The 23,216-nt window shown below is 35.1% G+C and overlaps 1 long non-coding RNA gene across 1 annotated transcript in view; it reads right to left on the bottom strand.

Moving 5' to 3' along the window:
* The window catches only part of LINC01088 (long intergenic non-protein coding RNA 1088), a 337,052-nt gene that overhangs the window by 212,035 nt on the left and 101,801 nt on the right, over nucleotides 1-23,216 (bottom strand). Inside the window, exon 3 of the long non-coding RNA NR_038342.1 lies at nucleotides 10,503-10,669. This is a non-coding gene — a long non-coding RNA (long intergenic non-protein coding RNA 1088). The remainder of the gene's footprint in view (nucleotides 1-10,502; nucleotides 10,670-23,216) is intronic.

Genomic DNA, 23,216 nt, shown 5'->3' with positions numbered 1-23,216 from the left:
TTTTAATTTTCTCATTTAGTATTCTTTTTCTCTTCATCTTTTTTTGCCTTGTTTTGTATATTAATCTATTGCATTTAAAAAGCTATTTTAATACCTTCACTTGCTTTCTATTTCTATCTCTGCATGTAGTGGTTAAACCAGAAATTATATATGTAGCTTATACCTAGCCAATCTATTTGTGGATAATTTTAAGTCACTTCTGGTAAAATGTAGGATCATTGTATCAGCATACATTTCCATTGTATTCCCCTTCTTAAGTCTATTGTCATGAATATTATGTCTGTTTACCCTATAAAGCAATAAATAAAATGTAATAATTTTTCATTTTTATGGTTGTAAAACTTACAAGGCTGGGATTGTCATGCTAACACCACCAGGCAAGCACAATATAAAAAAGAAAAATACAGGCCAATATTCCTGATGAAAATATAGGCAAAAATTTTCAACAAAATACTAGCAAACTGAATTCAACAGCACATTAAAAGGATCATACACTATGTCATGTGAGATTTATCCCTGGAATGTAAAGTGTAAAGGTGATTCAACATATACAAATAAATAAATATAAAACACCACATTAAGAGAAGAAAGAATAAAAATCACATGATCATCTCAACAGGTGCAGAAAAAGCATTTACAAAATTCAACCCTCCTTTATAATAAAAACTATCCACAAATTAGCCAAAACAATGAAAGCCATATATCACAAGCCCACCTCTAACATCATGCTCAATGATGGAATGTTGAAAGCTTTTCCTGTAAGGTTAGGAACAAGACAATAATGCACATGCTCACCACTTCTATTCAACATACAACTGCAAGTGCTAGCCAGAGCAATTAGGCAAGGGAATAAAATGAAAGACATCTGCATTGAAAAAAAAGAGGAAAAATTGTCACTGTTTGCAGATGACATCATCTTATATAGAGAAAGTCCTAAAGGGTCCACACACACACATACACACACACAAAACTATTAGAACTAATAAACAAATTCAGTAAAGTTTCAGGACACAAAATTAACATACAAATATTAGTTGCAATTCTATACACTAAGGATAAATTATCCAAAACAGAAATCAAGAAACAATACCATTTATGATAGTATCAAGAAGAATAAATACTTAGGAATAAATTTAAACCAAGAATGTAAAAGATCTAGACTACAAAGTATAAAAATTCATGAAAGAAATTGAAGAAGGCACAAATAAATAGAAAAATATCCTATGTTCATGGATCTAGAAGAATCAATATTGTAAAATGTGCAAACTACCCAAAGCAACCTACAAATTCAATTCAATCCCTATCAAAATTCTAATGACATATGTTACAAAGATAGAAAACAATCCTAAAATTTGTATAAAACCAGAAAAGACCCTGAATAGCTAAAGCAATCTTGAACAAGAACAAAGCTGGGGGCATCACACTTTCTAATGTTAAATCTTATTATAAAGTTATAGTAATCAAAACAGCATAGTACTGGCACAAAAACAGACATATAGACCAATGGAGCAGAATAAAAAGCTTAAAAATAAACTACACATATGTAGGCAACTAATTTTTGACAAAGGTATTAAGAATACACAACGGGGAAATGATAGTCTCTTCAACAAATGATGTTGGGAAAACTGGATAGCCACATACAGAATAATAATTTTGGACCCTTATGTCACACCATATACAAAAATCAACTCAAAATGGATAAAACACTTAAAGATAAGACCTGAAACTGTAAAACTACTCAAAGAAAACTAAGAGAAAAGCTTCATGACATTAGTCTGGGCAACGATTTTTTGGATCAAAAAGCAAAAGCAAAATAAACAAATAAGACTACATCAAACTAAAAAGTTTTGGCACAGCAAAAGTAACAGTTGACAAATTGAAAAGGCGGCCCACAGAATTGGAGAAGATATTTGCAAACCATATATTTGGTAAAGGGTTAATATCAAAAATATACAAGGAACTCATACAATTCAATAGCAAAACAAAAAAAGCAAATAATCCAATTTTTTTAATGAGCAAAAGACCTGAATAGACATCTCTCCAAAGAAGACATACAAATGGCCAAAAAGTACATTAAAGAAAATGTTCAACATCACTAATTATCAGGGCAATGCAAATCAAAATCACAATAGATTATCATTTCACAACTGTTAGGATAACTGATCAAAAAGTCAAAAGATAACAAGTGTTGGCAAGGATGTGGATAAAAGGAAACCTTACACCTTGCTGGCTGGACTAAAAGTTGGTACAGGCTTTATGAAAAGTATTTTGGATATTACAAAAAAAAAAAATAGAACCACCACATGATCTAGCAATCTCACTTCTGGTTATTTATCCAAAAGAGAAGAAATCAGGATCTCACAAAGATATTAACACATCTATGTTTATTGTAGCACCATTTACAACAGCTAAGATTTAGAAACAACCCTGTTATAGAATATTAGTCAACTTTAAAAAAACAGAAGGAAATTCTGTAATATGTGACAGCATGGATGAATCTTGAGGACATTATGCTAAGTAAAATAAGCCAGTCATAGAACAATACTGAATGATTGCACTGATATGAGATATGCAAAATAGTCAAATTCATAAAATCAAAGAGCAGAATGGTAGTTTCCAGGGGCTGAGAGGAGGTGGAAATCAAAAGTTACTAATCAACAGAGTTAGTCAAGCAAGATGAATAAGCTCTAGAGATCTGCTGTAACATATTGCACCCATAGTCAACAATAATGTATTAGACACTTAAAAATTTGTTAAGAGGGTAGAGCCCAAGTTAAGTATTCTAACCACAACAAAATAAAATAAAATAGAAAGGAATCAAGTACTGGTATACACAACAACATGGATATGTCTCAAAAGTATTAAGCTAAGTGAAAAAAAAGGCAGGCACAAAGACTCCATACTGTATAATTCCATTCATATGAATTTCTAGAAAAAGCAAATCTACAGTGACATAAAGCATATAGGTGGTTGCCAGGGGCAGGATGTGGGGGGAGGTCACTGACTGCAAAGAAACACAGAGTGTTAAAACTAAGGGTGGTAAAACTAGCCTATATCATGATTGTGGTGGAGGTTACGTAACTGTACACATTTATCAAAACTCGTTAAATTGTACATTTTGAATTGGCAAATTTTAATGTGTATAAATTAAACCCCAATAAAAAAATGGCAGATATAAAAAGGAAAGGGAGAATTCACAATTTTTTAAATGCAACAAAAATTAATAACAAGCTAAAATAATTAAATTAAATATCAAAGACCAAAATGTGGTAACATGTGAAGACTTAGATTCAATAGTTGAGTCAGGCCATCTAGCAAAGATCTAGCTCTATTTCCTGTTAAACAATAATCGAAAAAAGGAAATCAAAGGGTATAGAATGAGTTTTCTATTCCCCTTCCTTAATCGGAGCCAAAACTTTGGTAGGTATGTTCGCCAGGGCTGGGATTGAGGCAGGGTGTGGTGGAACCAGGCCAGGGATTCTCTTTTATGGTTATAGTGACAGGGATAAAGTCAGAATTAAACTTTTGGACAAGAATTCATCAGTTTCATACACTGCATTGAACCAGGGACTGGGACAGAGAGGTCTTGGCCATGAACTTCCACAAGCATTTTACAGAGACTCATCAGGGATGCGGAGGATATGACACCCTAGCTGGGGATTTTCCTGGCATGTTTAGTTAGGAACTTTACCAGTGTAGTATATTATCTGGGGCCAGAGATAAGGAGGAATCCCATGTGGTTGAGGCCCATAGTGTGTGTCAGGGCTTGCATGTTTCCAGACTGGTTACATACAGGGGATTAAGCAAATTAGTAAATATATTATGATGGCGAAGAGCCAGATTTCTCACTGTTGGAGAAGGGATTTATAAATATGAAAAGAGAGAAGGCTAAATATGTTATGTTAGATTGGAATTGGAAGTATCAGTTTAAACTCAAGTTTTTTTTTAAAAAAGACGTATGATAGATAGACATACATAGATGACAGATAGATGTTTGTATGCATGCATGTATGTATGTCATAAAAATATACATATATTTCCTGGGTTGATTTTCTGAGAGATCCTAGAAGTAATAATGCAATAATGAACCATAACAATGAACACACCCAGTGCACAGATTGTGGTTTGTGAATACCGCTCCCCAATAAAAAGAACTAGGGCTCCTTAAAGAACTGGTTGTTTCAAGGCTTGGGCAGAAAAAGTCTAAGATGATCCTTGAACATCTCGGCTTCTCAGAAAATAAGTGCTAGAAAGAGGAGGAGGACGTGTCAAGAAGACATGGGAGTATCTTTGAAAAAATTTCCACTGGTCAAACATGAGACAATTAGAGCATCAAAATAAATAACAATCATAAAATATAAGTCAGTGAATAAAATCAATATCCTTGAGTTCATATTGATATAAATAGATAATTATTAAATAAATAAATGGGAGAGATAGGAAAGGCCTTCCTTACAGTCAATTATCGACAAATAAATGTAGAAGGAACAACAGTATAAGAAAATAGCTATTTGGCAACTATGAAAAAATTGTATCAGAAAAGCATCATCAATGGATGTTAATACTAACAGGTGACAGTCTAATGAGAAATAAAATACTTATACAATTTCAAAACTATCTCCATAAATACTTAATGATTATTTTTTAATAAGTATGAAATACTTGACAATGGAGAAGCCTGGCAGACAACACTTTAATCAAGTGATCAAAGTGTAGCTACCAAACACGGGAAAATTGTAAGAGGGTACCTGTTGTTACAAACAGAAAATGATACAACATTATTTCTGTTGCATTCCTGCCAAATATACATAACCTAAATTTAGTTATGTGGAAACCTCAGACCATCCCCAACTGAGGGATGTTCCACAAAGCCACTGGCTCATACTCTTCAAAATTATCAAGATCATGAAAGACAAGAGAAGACTGAGAAATTTTGCAGACTGAAGGATATTTAAGAGACATGACATTTAATACAGCAAATGATTCTCTGTCGAATCCTGGACCTTTTAAAGATATAATTTGAATAAAAGGTGAAATTTGAATGGTGACTGTGGATTACACGGTGGATCTATCAATGGTAATACCTGAATTTTGATGGTTGTACTGTTGTTATACAGGAAAATGCCCTTGTTTTAAGGAAATACACACTGAAATATCAAGCTTCAATATCCGCAATGATTTCAAATGGTTAAAAAATAAATATATTTATACAATAGAGAAAGAATGAAGCAAATATGATAAAACGTTAATATTGGAGAAGCTGGGTAAAGAGTATGTGGGGATTAGTTGTTTTATTCTTGTGACTTTTCTATAAGTATAAAATAATTCTCAAATACAATATTTTTAAAAGTGCAGTTTGTGTTGAATGTATTGGAAAATGTTTTTAAAAAGCTTACTAGCCAAACAAATGAAAAGACAATAAAAAAGAATAGAAGTCTCATATAAAATTACCATGGTTACCAGAATGGTTTTATTCTTCACATTTTTTGACATCAGAAACTCATATTCATGTGTGCAAAACTGAAGGATGCAAATTACTACAGAGCATAAAGTGAGGAACACTGAGCTAAAAACTAGGAGTCCCGAGGCTTAAATCTCAGATCTCCAGCAGAATGGCCTCAGGACTGTCATTTAACTTTCCTGAGCCTCAAGATAACTTAGCTATTGAGTTATTAAATCAAGTCCCTTTAATTTATAAAGCTCTAGGATTCAAATTTTCCCAAATAATAGTTTAAATCAAATCACCATTACCTTAAATATTGACTAAGTATTTAGCTATTACAAATCAATAATCAAAGCCTGCTGGGATTTGATGATTTTAGGATGATTGTAAAGTTTATTTGACAACATGGCAAAAAATCTAAAACTACTTCCATATGTAAATGTATATATTTGGTTGTTTTAGAGTAAGAATTCTGTCTCATTTCTCAACACAAGGTGGGAGAATCATGCCCTCAGTTGAATTCCAACGATTTCCTGAATCAGGTCTCTGAAGAAGTGATTAATGAACTGGTCACATTTTTCTTCTTAACCCTTTGATGTACCCTGTGCTCACTTAGCATAGCTGATTAGGCGATCATACTAACAAGCTCATGGAATCATCATTCAAATGACAGTAAACTCCCACCCTTGCCAACCATCTGACATATGCTTGTCATTGGTAACAAGGTCAATTGAATGATTGCATGCAGATATATCACTGCAAATTCATCACCAATAGGAAAATAATTCACAAAGCACATCCAATTCACAATGGGCTAGCAACACCATTTTGCTGTATGAACATAGGATATCAAATTAGGTTTCTGGTGCTCTCAGCATATGATATTAATCTCAAAATCCTCCTCTTAGATTTGAGACTCTGCTAAAATTTTACACCCCTAGAAGCATCACTGTGCCCTTCAGTGATTAATACCTCCTTACGTTTGTGACTCTTTTAAGAAGAATTGGGAAGCAGAAAACCTAAAACATATTTATTTCTAGCTCTGCAAAATTTGTACACCTAGAAGAAGGCACTCACCTTTTCAATTGTCCCCAAATGATTGCATCCACAGTACAATACACACAAAGATGGTGATGTGAAATGAATACCACTCTAATGGATCATGATAGTAATATTTTCATCAGGTTTTTATAAATACAGTAATTTACACAAAGCTAAATTTTTAAATCAGATGTTGATGTATTCAAATATATATTTTAATACTTATTAGCCCAGGGAATGATGAAGAAACAAACATTTGGTACAACATTCACCCTGAAGCTTCAAATAGTGATGTCTTGTAATTGCTCTCTTCTAAATGTGACCTCTCATGTGAGATAACATCGGGAATCAGAAGATAATATATTTACAACAAAGCAGTTTCATAATACCCTAAATAGTATGGCAATGGCAGATCTAAAGCACAAACTTTTACACAGAAGAAATGCACTTCTAAAAGAAGTAAGGCTCTGGAAACAGGTAGAACCCTCAGATGAACAGAGGATGGCTCTGCGATTGGTTATATGAGATATAGTTCAAGTGTGTTTTAGCTCTCACTCCCACTATGCCAGAAAAAAAGCAAAGAGATTAGTATATAAGAAAGATCTTATTCTGCCTGAATATTACATTAACCTGTGAGCACTACTGCTCCCTTGGTCAGCTTTTTCAGAGCCTGCTGGCACTGCAGCACTGCTGACCTGGTAGGTCTGATTATGAATGATCAATGTGCCTATTTGCAGTAGAACTCTTTGCACAGATCTGGACCCTCAGCCCTTATTCACTCATGCAGATAATAACAGCAGTTCAAGGCACTTGCCCATAAATCCAAGCTTCATTAAACAAGGGGAATGTCACCAAAAGTCCCTTTAACTGTCTTTATGCTGCTAGGCAGGGAAAAATTGGAAATTCTGAGGAAGTAGAATTTACAGTGTTAATAAAATAAGGATTTGTATATCCCTATACCCTATTTTGCACATCTTTCTTGAGCTTCTTGTGTTAAAATTCACCACTTCAGTGGTGAGCAGAGTGAGAAATGTGAACAAAGGATATTGTATGCCTGAGGTCAGATTCTGCTTCAGATAAAATATTTCAATGGAATTTTTCAGGTCTGTGACAGGGAATGGGATGTTGCCACTCCTCCTCATTCATTATAGACACAACTAGTGTCAGGCTGGTGTCTCAAAGGGCTGGAGGTTGGAAAGAATGGTGGGGGAGGCACCAGAAGAGTTCTGTGCAAACTTGAAAAGAGGGTCCCTCTGTGGTGCATCAAGGCATGAAGTCTGCCTACTCTCCAGTCTTAAAAGGGTGTGAAGATTTGGTTACTCATTTTCTCAGGCAAAACATGTTAACAAGTTGCTGGTGTTTGAGGAAAATGTGAGTTGCAGATTATCTAATGAAGGATAGTCCTCTTAAAACACAGTGCCCCATGCACCACCTCCTTAGGGTCCTCACACAGACTCAGCACTCCACTCCATATCCCTGGCATCACTCCTATATTAACCTACAATGTATAAGTTTTCCTAGCTAATTAGAACAACCATTCACTTTCTTTTATAATCCCCTTCCTTAAAATTAGACGTTAAGGAAATCCTTAATTTTTTTGCCTGAATAACCCTGCTACCACTGAAAACTCATAGGGAAATAGAGTTTCAAATGATAAAATAATTCAAGTCAAAGCTTGCGTTTCTTGAAGATAACTAGCTGGTCATTTCTGAGTAATAATTGGTATTTGCACCTCAACAATTTGTAGTGCCTTAGGCAATACCAATTCAAGAAAAATAAGAACAATGGACAAATGAGAAATTACCCTGCACAATGAATAATCACACAAAATTTAGATAAATTAACCCGGAATAAAGCAATTTTCTACAGAGAAATATGTTTTTCCTGCTTTCATCTATAAAGATAAGGTCCAAGATACACATATATAACCACATAAAATTCACCACTAAATGCTAAGAAAATGGGCTCCCAGTTTTTCTTGCCCATTCAGAAATTGTTTAGTGGGCAAACTGCATAAAGTAGTGGTCTGCAAAGCATCCCTATTTACAACAGATAGCTTTTCCTCTGAACCTCTCTCAAACCTTAAAACTCTACGCATCCATCTGTTCATGCAATGCCCAACACTTGTTTATGCCCCGCACTCACCCTGCAACAATGTTGTATGGGAAAGGAGATGTGGAAAAGATTCAAAAGAGTGTGTGGCACTAGGATGGGACATCACTGGTAATTAAATAAAACAGACAGAAACATTATTTCTAAGATACCCTCCTGGAAAATGTCATGCAAAGAATAAATGTAGATTTGGTCTGTCTTTGTCTAAAGGTCAGAAACAGGATTAGTGATAGAAGTTGCAAGGTAGTAGATTTTGTCTCACCATAAAAAAAAGAACTTTTTAATCATAAAAAGTGCCAAACTGTGGCTTCCTCAGAAGGTAAATGTGCTTCCTATGACTATGAGGGATGCTTTAGGAGAAGACATTACTGAAATAAGTGGGAGATTATTCTTGGATTATTTGAAAAAACATTTCTAACTTTAAGAATTCTATAATTCTACGATGAGATGGGAGCTGACATTTTGCAAAGTGCACAAATAAGAAACTTAATTAGCATATATTTATTTCTCTATTGTCATCTTCAAGGGAGGCTTGAGTCCTGTTTGGCAATTTCACTAGGACATAAGTCTCTCTTCTAAACTGTGCATTGACATGAGCTTTAGTTTTGTTTAAAGAAACTTCTTTAAAAATTAAGAAATGACAGTGTGCTATTCTGCAAAGTAATTCCATTTGTGGAAACTCTGTGGTATTAAGATGGTTAGGTTTAAAATTAAGAGTTTCTTGCCTATTTGGAACAGGTCAGTCATCTCAATTCAGTTTGAATAAGCAGCCCATTGTTCCCATTTTAAAGCTCAGGGATAAGATATTAATAATATGTCCTCTTTCCTCCCACACTCTGCGCCAAGGCCCAAGAAGCTTCTGCTCAATGCTATCCATTCAAAGTGAAAGATTGGCTGAGCTATTCAAAGCTCCCTCTCTGGCTCTTAGGGCTTTGTGCTATTGTTCGGCTGTATAATACTTTGGTGGATTCTGTGGTTCAATCTGTTCAGATATACCTCCCACCAGCTGGAATACATGTCTTTAGAACTACCGTCTCCTTTCTTTTTTTTTTTTTTTCCATCTCCTTTCCATTATTTTTAATCTAGGCAGTTCAGGGTTTGTTCTGTTTTACTTTGGACTTTGTATTCTATCTTTGCTTTCCCCGTATTGGAATTTTCTTCAGTATATTTCTACCAGAATATAAATGCCTATGGATGAAATTGTTCATATATATACGTAGGAACTATGTATGTCTTAGTCTTTTTGCATTTTTCACAGCACTTGGCATAATGGCTTGAACACAATAGATGTTCAACCAGATTTATAAAATTCAATTAGCTGTTTTTTCTACCCAAGTGTTACCTAGAAAAGTAACACAAGGCCAAAATGATGACATTTACAAAATATCATGTACTAAAAAATGTTGTTATTCTTCATCCATTTCAACAGTGATTGAACAATTTACTACTGACATCTGTTAACACATTGAAAGTACCTGATCATCTGCCATTTGAAATCAATAATCTTGGTTTTTCAGAATGTAAGAAGAAAGAAGAAAAAAGCCTGACCAAAAGAGTAAGACTGATTTTTGAGTAACTTCATGATTTTCTTATATTGGCACTCTTTCGGGTCTGCTATATGAGTACCATAGGGGTTACAGGAGAAACATAGAAGAAAAAGGCCCTTTTCTCTTCCTCAGAGAGTTGTGTAGATATTGGCTACCTCTAGTATTGCAGTCTGGATCTCTGCAGTGGTGGAATTTGCCCACTGGGTAATAGATGATAATTATGTATTGAGGACATTTATTACTACACAATTTTCCACCTTGAGCAGGAAATGTCCACTCTATTCCCTAGGAAACAAAGCATGGAAGGATTACTTCAGCCTCTCCCCCAGCTACCTCCTTTCATGGGAAGAGTGTCTTACCTAATTGATGAATTTTGGAGAAGTAATTGAGTACATCTGGCTCAGCATCTTCTAGGTCCATCTCTTTAAGGGCCAGCTTGACTGTAGTGTGCAAGCTTTTGGGCCTCTTCTCTCATGTGATAGTTCAGCAGGTCTACTCCTATTCCTTCAAGGGGAAGCCGGCAGCTCTGGGAGATAGGAAAGGTTCATATTAAGTGATATATTAGCAAGCCCTCTCTGGACATAAATTTAAAGCGATATTCACTAATTCAAGCTGTTGTGAGTAATAAGGATTTCTATTTGTCTGATCCCTATATCCTATCTCTCAGTTGTTTCAAAATTTGCAAGGAGAAAGAGATGAAAGGAATAGAGAAACTTTCCATTTCTAAGATCATATATTAAAGAACTGTAATATGAGCAGTTCTATAAAATTATATCAATTTTTAAACCAGTATAGAAAATTATTAGGTAACTTAAGTTCATTCAACATTAAAATAATCTGTATTCTATCTTTATAATATACTCCATTTATTAAAGCAGAAAAATTTGGGCCAGGAATGGTGGCTCACAACTGTAATCCCAGCACTTTGGGAGGCTGAGGTGAGCTGATCACCTGAGGTCAGGAGTTCGAGACCAGCTGGACCAACATGGTGAAGCCCCATCTCTACTAAAAATACAAAAATTAGCCAGGCATTGTGGTGGGTGCCTATAATCCCAACTACTCGGGAGGCTGAGGCAGGAGAATAGCTTGAACCCGGAAGGCAGAGGTTGCAGTGAGCTGAGATTGCACCATTGCACTCCAGTCTGGGTGACAGAACAAGACTCTGTCAAAGAAAAAAAAAAAACAGAAAAATTTGAACTGTTACTGCTGTTACTGCTAAACTTGGTACTATTTCTTGCAAAGGAAATTTGTATCAGTCAGTATATCAAATGTACCTGTAAATTTGTAACTTGGGGATTTAGACAGCAGAGTAGTTTTACCAGTTTATTTATTTCAGCATCATAGTAGACATTAATTCTTATGCTATTGGTGACATTATTCCCAGGCACACCACATCTGAAACATAACCATATACTTTCAATTATCATCTTCACCATCATCTCAACATATATCGTTGTATGGTTTTCAAAATATTTTCATTTATATTCTTTTATTCAGCCTTTCAACATCCCCATCAACTGGGTGGAATAAGTAGTTTCATCTATGTTTTAATGATGAAAAAGCTCACAAAGAGAGATTATGTGACTTCCTCAAGTTACTCAACCAGTAGTGATAAAGCTGATTCTAGTGCCCAAGTGTGCAGCTTCCTATTTCTTTTCCTTTCTTTCTCTCTTTCCCTTTCTCCCTTCCCTTCCCTTTTCTTTCTTTTTCTTTCTCTTTCTTTCTTTCTTTTTCTTTCTTTCTCTTTCTTTTCTTTCTTCTCTCTCTCTCTCTCTCTCTTCCTTCCTTCCTTCCCTCCCACCCAGGCTGCAGTGCAGTGGCATGATCTTGGATCACTGCATGCAACCTCTGCCTCCTGGGCTCCAGTCATCCTTCCACCCCAGCCTCTAGAGAAGCTGGAACTACAGTTCTATAGGGACATGCCACCATATCCAGAGAAAGGGTTTTGCCATGTTTCCCAGACTGGTCTCTAACTCCTGAGCTCAGGTGATCCACCTGCCTCAGCCTCCCGAAGTGCTGGGATTACAGGCGTGAGCCACCATGCCTAGCCCTGCCTCCTATTTCTGCAAAATTTTTATACATTTTTTATGTTCTCATTATGTTATATATCTATAATGGCAGCATTACTTGCATGGACTAAAGGCAGTATTATCTGCAGCATATTATAGATATTTCTTTGTATCTATCATTTTCTGTCTAATCCAGCAACCATCAGGATAGCGGGGACAAAATATTTTATTGTTCTTTGTTTGGCTTCCCAGAACATACGAATTCAATGTAATTAAAAATATTGATTATCTAAATAACAATAATAATAGTAATAATAATAACAGGAGGCTCTAAATATGTTAAATAGATGAATAGATAAGTGGGTGAGTGGATGGAATGGTGGATGGATGGATGAACGGATAGACGGATAAATATATGATAGGCATAAAGATAGAAGAATAAGATGTGACTCCTAAGGAAGACAAATGTGGTAACACACAAATAGATAGAATACATGTTGATTTGTACTATAATAGAGACAGGTACATTATACCAGGGGAACAGATGACAGAACAATTCATGGTATACCACATTTTACGATCTCTCTATAAATGTTGTACTATAGACCCATTGTTATGTTCTTTATGTTGTAAAGAAAAGAATTGAGAGTAATGAAGCATGCATGGCTCATTGTAAGAATTTTTAAAAGAAATCACTTTAGAATACATGGAAATCAACAAAGAATCTAGGAATTTAAAACCCTAAAGAACTTAAATAAAAAACCCAGCCCTACATATTTTATTAGAGCAGGGACACCCAGATGGGATGGAGGGAGGACGGGAGATGCCAATGTCATATACATGTATATTTAGTAGTTAAAGAAAGCATTGAGCCAAGGCATTAACCAGACACATTTCTAACCTTGACACAAGTTGCTGATAAAATGGCCCTTAGGATAAACAGCACAATTGGCCTTATTTTGACCTGAGTCAGCAGGAGCTTTTAGCGGTGGGGTACTTGGAGTTCTGTCATGTAAATGCCTTCTTGAACAAGAACAGAACACATTGTTCAGGTTGCTCAAACAGAGCTGGCAGTCAGTAACTGACACAAGAGAACTTGAGTAGAGACAAAACAGAAAGAAGATCTCTTTCAGGAGGAGTGGTGGCTGTTTAGGAAATTTAACAGAGTGAAAGGAAACTATTCTGGGAAAGATAATGTATGAATCCAAAATACTTTGGCACTTTAATCAAATATGCTGCTTACGGAAAAAGCATAGTCTGCACCCCAACACCTGCTGGACCTAATGGACTCTGAAATGTTGTTTCAGAATTAATCAAGTCATTTAAAATCATAGCTGCAGTCTCCATTCACTACTCCTGTGCGTAAATGTGCTGATCCCGATACTAATCCATGTCGGGTGACTTGAGCAATATATCATCATAATTGCCATTTAAGGCTGCAAATTGGAGCTAAAATAACCAGATGCAAAAGAGATGGCCGTATCATACTCTCAAGATGGATCTTCAAAGTTCAAGGAGAGTTCAAGCATGGAAGAGGCAATAGAAAGGGGTCAAGTGTAAGGGGATTGTTCATGTTCGAGAGGAATTAACTTTACAAATATATTGTTTCTGAGGTGGTAATTGTCCCATCTTACAGTTATTCATACCTCATTTACTCATTGCATTCTTCTCAAGCATTTAATGAAATGAATTTGATTTTGACCAAATATTCTATTTCAAAATTGCCATTAATTTTCAATATTTTTTATTCTCCTCTAAATTATCTGTTTAAAAGGGATAGAGACTGGAGTCAGGAAATCTAATATTTCCCTAGGTAATCTTTTGGCAAGAATTCATGCCAGTTTCAGATATTTCCTTCCTAGCTCAGTAAATTAAATCATTGAACTAAAAAACGTCACCAACATTCCAAACATCTCAAACTCAAAAGGCCAAGACAGAATTCTGTCCCATGTGAGTAAGACTAAGGCAGTTCTCTAAGCTTATCTGTCACAGTTCCTCACTTAGGTGACCATAAAAGCATGTAAATGAAAGCCTACTGCATACTTATTTGTTTGTATAAAATTAAGAAAGATTTGAAAAATTGGAAACAAGAGAGTGCCCCTGTAACTACTTCAGTATCAAAGTTGCTAAAATGCCACTATTACTTGCTACTTTGCTTGAGTCACCATTCTCCTAATATCATATAAAATAAATCACCATATAAAGGAACCACAATATACTACTTTTATTTCAAAATCCAAATTTGTTAATGTAGCACTCAAGGACCTTCACAGTCTGCAGCAAACCTGCTTATTTAACACTTCTTTCTTCACAAACTCTTGCTTTTCAGCTTCTGCAACAGTAAATGGCTCATCATTTCCTCGAAAAAATAAGGCTTGTTTAAACCTCTGAGCATTAGAAAAATGTTCTTCTCTCCATATAACATATCTCTCTTCCCCATTTCTCTAACTAGTACACTTATTTTCATACTTTAATACCCAGCTGAAATGTCACCACCCTTCTCTGACCAGCAACCCCAATAAATGACATTTAGTTTTGTTTTTGCTACACAGTGCACAATGAAAACCTCCATTAAAGAATTTATCACAACATATTATTGCTATTTCTTTTGTGTCAATCACCCTCAATTAGATCATGAACTAATAGAGTAAATGGACTTATTTTTACAATTTCTTTAAGTATTATATTAAATATAGGTAAAGCAATTTGCAAGAATCATACTGCAATATCAAAATTATTGCTTTTTTACTATTTTTATTTCTGAAAACAAGCAGTATATCACAGCGTATTATATATATTACTTTGTGTCTATCACTTTCTATCTAGTGTAGCAACTATCAGAATAGAGGAAACAAAATATTTAAAAACATAATTGTCAAAATTTTTCAAAATTTGATGAAAATTATATACCTTCAATTTTAAGATTTTAAATAAAAGCAGTACAATCACAAATAAAACTATACTAAGGAGCATCATAATCTGATTGCTCAAACTACTAATACAGAGAAAACTGAAAAACCAGCCAGTGGGGGAAAAAAAGCATGTTACACACAACAGGGAAACAAAGATAAGAATAACCTCAAACACCAACAGTCATGCACTTGAAAAGACAATGCAATGACCTCTTTAAAGTAATGAAAGAAAAAAATGATAAAACTAAAATTTTACATCTGGAAAAAAAATCTTCAAAAATGAAGGCAAAGGAAGCATTTTTTTAAGAAAAGTCAAATCTTCAATTTTTTGGCATCAGACTTCCATTAAAGAAATGTTAAAAGTAATTATTCTAGCTGAAGGAAAATAAACCCACCTGGAAATTTCAATACACACAGAGAAATTTAAGAGTGCCAAAATGGTAAATATGTGGTAAATATAACAGATATTTTTGTCATTTTAAAGTTTTTTTAAAAAAGATAGTGATAGTATTTTGAGGTTTATAACATGTAAGAAAATGTTTGTGCTAACAATAGAACAAAAGATTGGAAGGAGGAAATGGAAGTATGTAATTTATATGAATGTAGATTATAATAGATAATAAAGTAGACTATAATAATGTAGATTTCATTTAGTGAAATGAAATAAGACAGATATTTTGTTAAAAATCCAGAAGTATTGCTAAAGACAAAAATTGTAAAATATTCAGACTAACTCAAATAGAAGCAGAAAAAGAGTAAAGAGAAGAAGAGAAAATACAGGTCAAAAATAAAACAAATAAGAAAATGGTAAACCTAGCCTGAACCATACTAATAATTACATTACATGTAAATTATCTAAAGTTTCCAATAAAAAGCAAACATTTTTTAACTGAATAAAAAACATGACTAAACCATATATTGTTCACAAGAAATTCACTTAAAATATAAAGATTCAGATTAAAAATAAAAAGATTTTAAAAATTAGAAAAAATTCATATACTAATCAAAAGGAAACTGAAGTAGCTATATTAATATCAGGAAAAATACACTTCAGAAAAAGGGATATTACAGAATTTAAAATAAATATTTCAAAATGTCAAATGTGACAATTAAGGCAGAGTAATCCTACTTATATATGCTCTAAACAGGGATTCAAAACACATAAAGCAAAGCTGAAAAACACCATAAGGAGACAAATCCAGAATTATAGTTGCAGATTCAACACTTTATTTTAATAAATTAATAGATTAAGTAGACACAAAATAATAAGAGTATATAAGCCTTAAACAACACAATCAACCATCTTGACATAACTGACATTGTAGAGTACTCAACCCAACAAAGCAAGCCTAAACTTAAAATTATTAAAATTATACAATGTACTCTGACTATAATGTAATTGAATTAGAAATTAATGATAACAATCTGAAAATGCCATAATATTTGGAAATTAAATAACACTTCTGAAAAATCTGTGGATCAAATGAGAAGTTAAAAGGGAAATTATAAAATACTTGGCATTCATAAAAAATAATGAGATCATGTCATTTGCAGGAACATGAATTGAGCTAATGGCCATTATCCTTAGCAAACTAACACAGAAACAGAAAACCAAATACTGCATGTTCTCACTTAAAAGTGGGAGCTAAATGATGAGTACACATGGACACAAAGAGGGGAACAACTGACACGGGGACCTACCCAAAGGTGGAGCATGGGAAAAGGGAGAGGATCAGAAAAAAAATAACTATTGGGTAGTAGGCCTAGTACTTGAGTGATGAAATAATCTGTACACCAAACCCCTGTGACACAAGTTTACATATATAACAAACCTGCACATGGACCCCCGAACCTAGAATAAAAGTTTTTTAAAATGCTCAAATAATGATCAATTAAAACTTTTTAAAAATAGTAACAATAAAAAATATTTGGCTTTAATAGAAATGTAAACACAGACATCAAAATTTGTGGTATGCAACTAAAGCAATGTGTGATATTTTATATATATGGTTTTGTCCACAATCCCTGGCTCACAACCTCTATAGCCCTTGTTACAGTCTTTATTATAACGGTGCACTTTAGGCCTAAGAAGCAAACCTCAGAAAACAAAATCTCTCTTTCTGACCTTCCCCTGCCCTCCTTTCACCAACCCAAGGCAAGACACTAATCTTCCCCTGTCTTTCTGATTGTAGGTCATAAGTTTCACATTTCAGAACAAATTCTGCCCCATACCCTGGAGGAAGGAATGCTGCACAGAGAGGCCAAGAAAAATCTGAACATACAAACCTTGCTGGGTTTCCCCACTCAGTCTATTAGCATAAGATGATACCCTTTTTGTCTAATCACATTTCTACACGGTTGTCAATCAAGCCTATCTAAAGAAGTCTCCATAAAAAGGCCCTAGAAGACAGGGTTGGGAGTGTCTGGAATGCTGAACACACAGAGGTTCCTGGAAGATGGTGCACCTAGAAAGGGCATGGAAACTTTATGCCCCTTCCCACATGCCTCACCCTATGCATCTCTTCATCTGTATCATTTGGAATATTTTTTTATAATGAACCAGTAAACGTAAGTTTCCTTGAGCTCTGTGAGCTTCCCTAGCAAAGTAATTTAACCCAAAGTGGAAATGACAACTTGAAACTGGTTGATCAGAAGTTCCAGGGGCTGAGGGCTTATGACTAATGTTATCTTCAGGTAAATAGTGTCAGAATTGAATTGGAGTACATCTAGCTGGTGTTCACTGCAGAATTGACTGCTTGCTTGGTGTGCAAGGAAAACAATCTCATAGATTTGCTCACAGAAGTCTTCTGTGCTGAAATCAACAAAACCAAAACTTGGTTATATTAAAGAATAAATAAGCTTGATAGACTGCTAGCTGGACTAAGAAAGAAAAAACAATCCAAATAAACATGATTAGAAATGACAAGGGGACATTACCGTTAGTCCAAACTGCATTGTTATGTAAGCTCCCTGCTTTTTTGCAGACCTTGGTCAAAGTGAAACATTTCATGTGGGTTCAGGCCATGAGAAACAGCCTGCCTAATCACCTGACCACAAGGCAGGCAAAGGCCCAGCTAAAGGCAAAGGCTCAACTAAAGAAACATCCCTATGACATCCTGCTAGGCAAAGGCCCAACTAAAGAAACATCCCTATCATATTCTGCTGGGAGAAAGTGCAAGGAACACCACATTCTGCTGGAACAAGGGCCAGAACTGCCTCAACATGGGAACATCTTATCAACATCCTGACGGGCAGCAAACCATATGGCCCAGACTCCTCCCACCCATACCTACAAGTACAGCCTGTAAGCAGTGGTGGCTCTGGCCTTAAGCCAGTCCTCCATTTCTGCAGGTTTCTGCAATATACCTGTGTTGCTGTTTGAGCCACCCTCTCTCTGTATATATCTTTAACCCTCGCCTTCCCTTCAAAACCTAAAAATTATCACGAACCAAGAGAAAGAAAAAAACAAAAAACCTCAGAGACTGTTATGAACAACTCAATGCACACAAGCTAGAAAACCTAAAAGAAATGGATGGATTCCTGGAAACATAACCTGCCAACATTGAACTAGGAAGAAATTAAAACTCTGAACAGACCAATAACGAGTTTCAAAAATGAAGAGTAATAAAAAGCCTACCAGCCAGAAAAACCCCTTGACCAGACAGATTCACACCCAAAGACTACCAGACATATAAAGATGAGCTGGAAACCACTCCTATTGTAATAATTCCAAAAAAAAAAAAAATGGAGGAAGACTTCCTGACTCATTCTTTGAGGCCAGAAACATTCTGATACCAAAATCTGGCAGAGATAAAACCAAAAAAGAAAACTTCAGCCAATATCACTGATGAACATAGACACAAAAATCCCCAACAAAATACTAGCAAACAAAATCCAGCAGCACAACAAAAAGCTAATCTACTATGATTAAGTAGGCTTTATTCCTGGGATGCAAGGTTGGTTCAACATATACAAATCAAGAAATGTCATTCATCACTTAAACAGTACTAAAAACAAAAGCTACATGATTATCTCAATGCAGAAGAAGCTTTTGATGAAATTCAACATCTCTAAACATAATAACCATCAACAAAATGGCATTGAAAGAATGTACCTTAAAATAATAAGAGCCATCTATGACATACCACTAGCTAACATCATACTGAACAGGCAAAAACTGTTCACAAGCATTCCCCTTGTGAACTGTAACAAGACAAGAATACCTATTCTTACCATTCCTATTCCACATAGTGCCCTAGTTACAGCAATCAGGCAAGGAAACAAAATTAAAACCATTAAAATAAGAAGAAAGGAAGTTAAACTACCTCTTTTCACAGACTATAGGATTTTATATCTAGAAAACCCCATAATCTCTGCCCAAAAGCTGCTGGATCAGATAAACACCTTCAGCAAAGTTTCAGGATACAAAAATCAGTGGCATTTCTATACACCAACAATGTCCAAGCTGACAGCCAAATCAAGAATGCAATCCCATTCACAAAAGCCACAAAAAAATAAAATATCTAGGAACATAGCTAACCAGGGGGGTGAAAGATGTCTACAAAGAGAATTACAAAACACAGCTGAAAGAAATCAGAGATGACACAAACAAATGGAAAAACATTCCATATTCATGGATAGAAAGGATCAACATCATTAAAATGGGCATACTGCCCCAAGCAATTGACAGATTCAATGCTATTCCTATCAAATTACCAATGACATTTTTAACAGAATTATTCTTAAAAAAAACTATTCTAAAATACACATGGAAACAAAAAATAAAGAGCCCAAATAGCCAAAGCAATACTAAACAAAGAGAACAAAGCCAAGGGCATTATACTGCCTGACTTTGAACTATACTGGAGTGCTATAGTAACCAAAACAACATGATACTGCTACAAAAATAGACACATAGACCAATGGAATGGGTTTACAAACCCATAAAGCCAAATACCTACAACCATCTGATCTTTGGTACGGTTGACGGAAATAATTGATTGGGAAAAGACTCTCTCTTCAATAAATGGTGCTGAGATAACTGGCTAGCCACCTGCAGAAGACTGAAATTGAACCCTTTCCTTACACCACATACAAAAATCAACTCAAGATGGATTTTACTTAACCGTAAAAACCGAAACTATAAAAACCCTGGAAGAAAACCTAGGCAATACCATTCTGGATATAGGAACTGCAAAGATTTCATGACAAAGTTACCAAAAGCAATTGCAACAAAAGCAAAAATTGACAAATTGGATCTAATTAAACTAAAGGGCTTCTGCAAAGCAAAAGAAACTATCAACAGGTAAACAAACAACCACCAAAGTTCTAATATCCGGCATCTATAAGGAACTTAAACATACTTACAAGAAAAAAACACACAACCCCATAAAAAAGTGGGCAAAGGACATGAACGGACACTTTTCAAAAGAAGACCTACATGCGGCCAACAATCATATGACAAAAAATCTCAACAGCACTGATTATTAGAGAAATGCAAATCAAAATCACAATGAGATGTCCTCTCACACTAGTCAGGATGGCTGTTACTAAAAAGTCAAAAAATTACATGCTAGAGAGGATGCAGAGAAAAAAAACATTCATATACTGCTGTTGGAAATGTAAACTAGTTCAGTCACTGTGAAAAGCAATTTGGAGATATCTCAAAGAACTTAAAACAGAATTACCACTCCACCTAGCAATCCCAGTACTGGATATATACCCAAAGGAATATAAATTGTTCTACCATAAAGACACACACATAATATTTTCACTGCAGCACTATTCACAAGAGCAAAGACAAGAATCAACCTAAATGCCCATCAACAGGGGACTGGATAAAGAAAATGGGATACATACACACCATGGAATACTATGCAGCCATAAAAATGAACAAGATCATGTCCTTTGCAGCAACATGGATGGAACTAGAGGCCAATATCCTAAGTGAATTAATGCAGGAACAGAAAACCAAATATCTCATATTATCACTTATAAGTGGATGCTAAACATTGAATACACAAGGGCACAAAGAAGAGAACAGACACTGGGGCCTACTTGAGGATGAAGGGTGAAAGTGGGGTGAGAATCAAAAACTTACTTACCAGGTACTACACATATTACCTGGGTGACAAAATTATCTGTACACCAAACCCTGTGATACATAATTTACCCATGTAACAAAGCTGCACAGTTGCCCCTGAACCTAAAATAAAGTTGCAAAAAAAAAATTGAAACTGCAGACCTTCTAGATGAAAATAAGAGAAAATATTTGTATGCTCCGGTTACCCAAAGATTTCTTAGCTATGACACCAAAGGCACAATGCATAAACAACAATTGATAAAACAGATTGTATAAAAACTAAAAGTTTTTTCTGTGGCTATGACATTATTAAGACAATTAAAGGCCACAAACTAGAAGAATGTATTTGCAAGTCACCTAATTATTTCCCAAATATGTAGAGAACTCACAAAAGTCAATAATAAGCTAAGAAACAATCCAATTATTTAATGGGCAAAAGATTTGAAAAACAGTTCACCTAAGAAAATACAAATTGCAAATAAACACTTGAAAAGATGCTCAACATTATTAATTGTTAAGTTACGGACAAACAAAGGAAAACTACAATGTGACACTCCTCTATACTATTAGAATACTAAAATTAAAGAGCTTGACCTTTCCAAGTGTTGTTGAAGATGCAGAGCAACAGGAATTCTTATATTCTGCTGGTGTTGATGGGGAAATCTCATATTCTGCAGCACTTTGTTGTTGTTTTTCTTTTCATTTTTTATTTATATTTATCTATTTTTAACTTTTGGGGACATGCACAAATTTATTACATAGGTAAACTTGTGTCAAGGAAGTTTGTTGTATAGACTATCTCATCACCCACTTATTGAGCCTAGTACCCATTACTTATTTTTCCTGATGCTCTCCCTCCTTCCAACCTCCACCATCCAAAAGGCCCCAATGTGTGTTGTTCCCTTCTATGTGTCCAACTGTTCTCATCATTTAGCTCCCACTTATAAATGAGAACAGGTGGTATTTGGTTTTCTGTTCCTGCATTAGTTTGCCAAGGATAATAGCCTCCAGCTCCATCCATGTTCCCACAAGAACATGATCTCATTTTTTTATGGCTGCATAGTATTCCATGGTGTATATGTACCACATTTGCTTTATCCAGTCTATCATTGCTGGGCATTTAGGTTGAATCCATGTCTTTGCTACTGTGAAAAGCGGTCCAATGAACATACACATGAATGTATCACCAACAGTGTAAATGCATTCCTTTTTCTGCACAACCTCACCAGCATCTATTCTTTTTTGACTTTTTAGTAATTGCCATTCTGACTGGTATGAGATGGTATCTCACTGTGGTTTTTACTTGCCTTTTTCTATGATTAGTGATGTTGAGCTTCCTTTTATATGTTTGTTGGCCATATGTATGTCGTCTTTGGAGAAGTGTCTGTTCATGTCCTTTGCCCACTCTTTAATGGGGTTGTTTTTTTTCCTTGTAAATTTATTTAAGTTCCCTATAGATGCTGGATATTAGACTTTTATCAGATGCATAGATTGCAAGAATTTTCTCCCATTCTGTAGGCTGTTTATTCTGTTGATAGTTTCTTTTGCCTTGCAGAAGTTCCTTAGTTTAATTAGATCCCATTTGTAAATTTTTGCTTTTGTTGCAATTCCTTTTGGCATTATCGTTATGAAATCTTTGCCCATGTCTGTGTCCTGAATGGTATTACCTAGAGTTTCTTCTAGGGTTTTTGTAGTTTTGGGTTTTACATTTTAGCCCTGAAATCATCTTGAGTTGATTTTTCTATGTGGTGTAAGGAAGGGGTGCAGCTTCAATTCTCTGCATATTGATAGCCAGTTCTCCCAGCACTATTTATTAAATAGGAAATCCTTTCTCCATTGCTTGTTTTTGTCAGGTTTTGTCAAAGATCAGATTGTTGTAGGTTTGAAGTCCTATTTCTGGGTTCTCTATTCTGTTTCATTGGTCTATGTGTTTGTTCTTGTACCAGTGCCATGCTGTTTCGGTTACCATAGTTCTGAAGTATAGTTTGAAGCTGGGTAGCATGATGCCTCCAGCTTCCACTCTTTTTGTTTAGGATTGCCTTGGCTATTCAAGCTCTTTTTTGGTTCTAT

The sequence above is a fragment of the Homo sapiens genome, chromosome 4, assembly GCF_000001405.40.
Source record: "Homo sapiens chromosome 4, GRCh38.p14 Primary Assembly".
In the NCBI taxonomy this organism is placed as follows: Eukaryota; Metazoa; Chordata; class Mammalia; order Primates; family Hominidae; genus Homo; species Homo sapiens.
The sequence above is the reverse complement of the archived record's forward strand: the minus strand, read 5'-3'. Positions and strand labels throughout refer to the sequence as shown.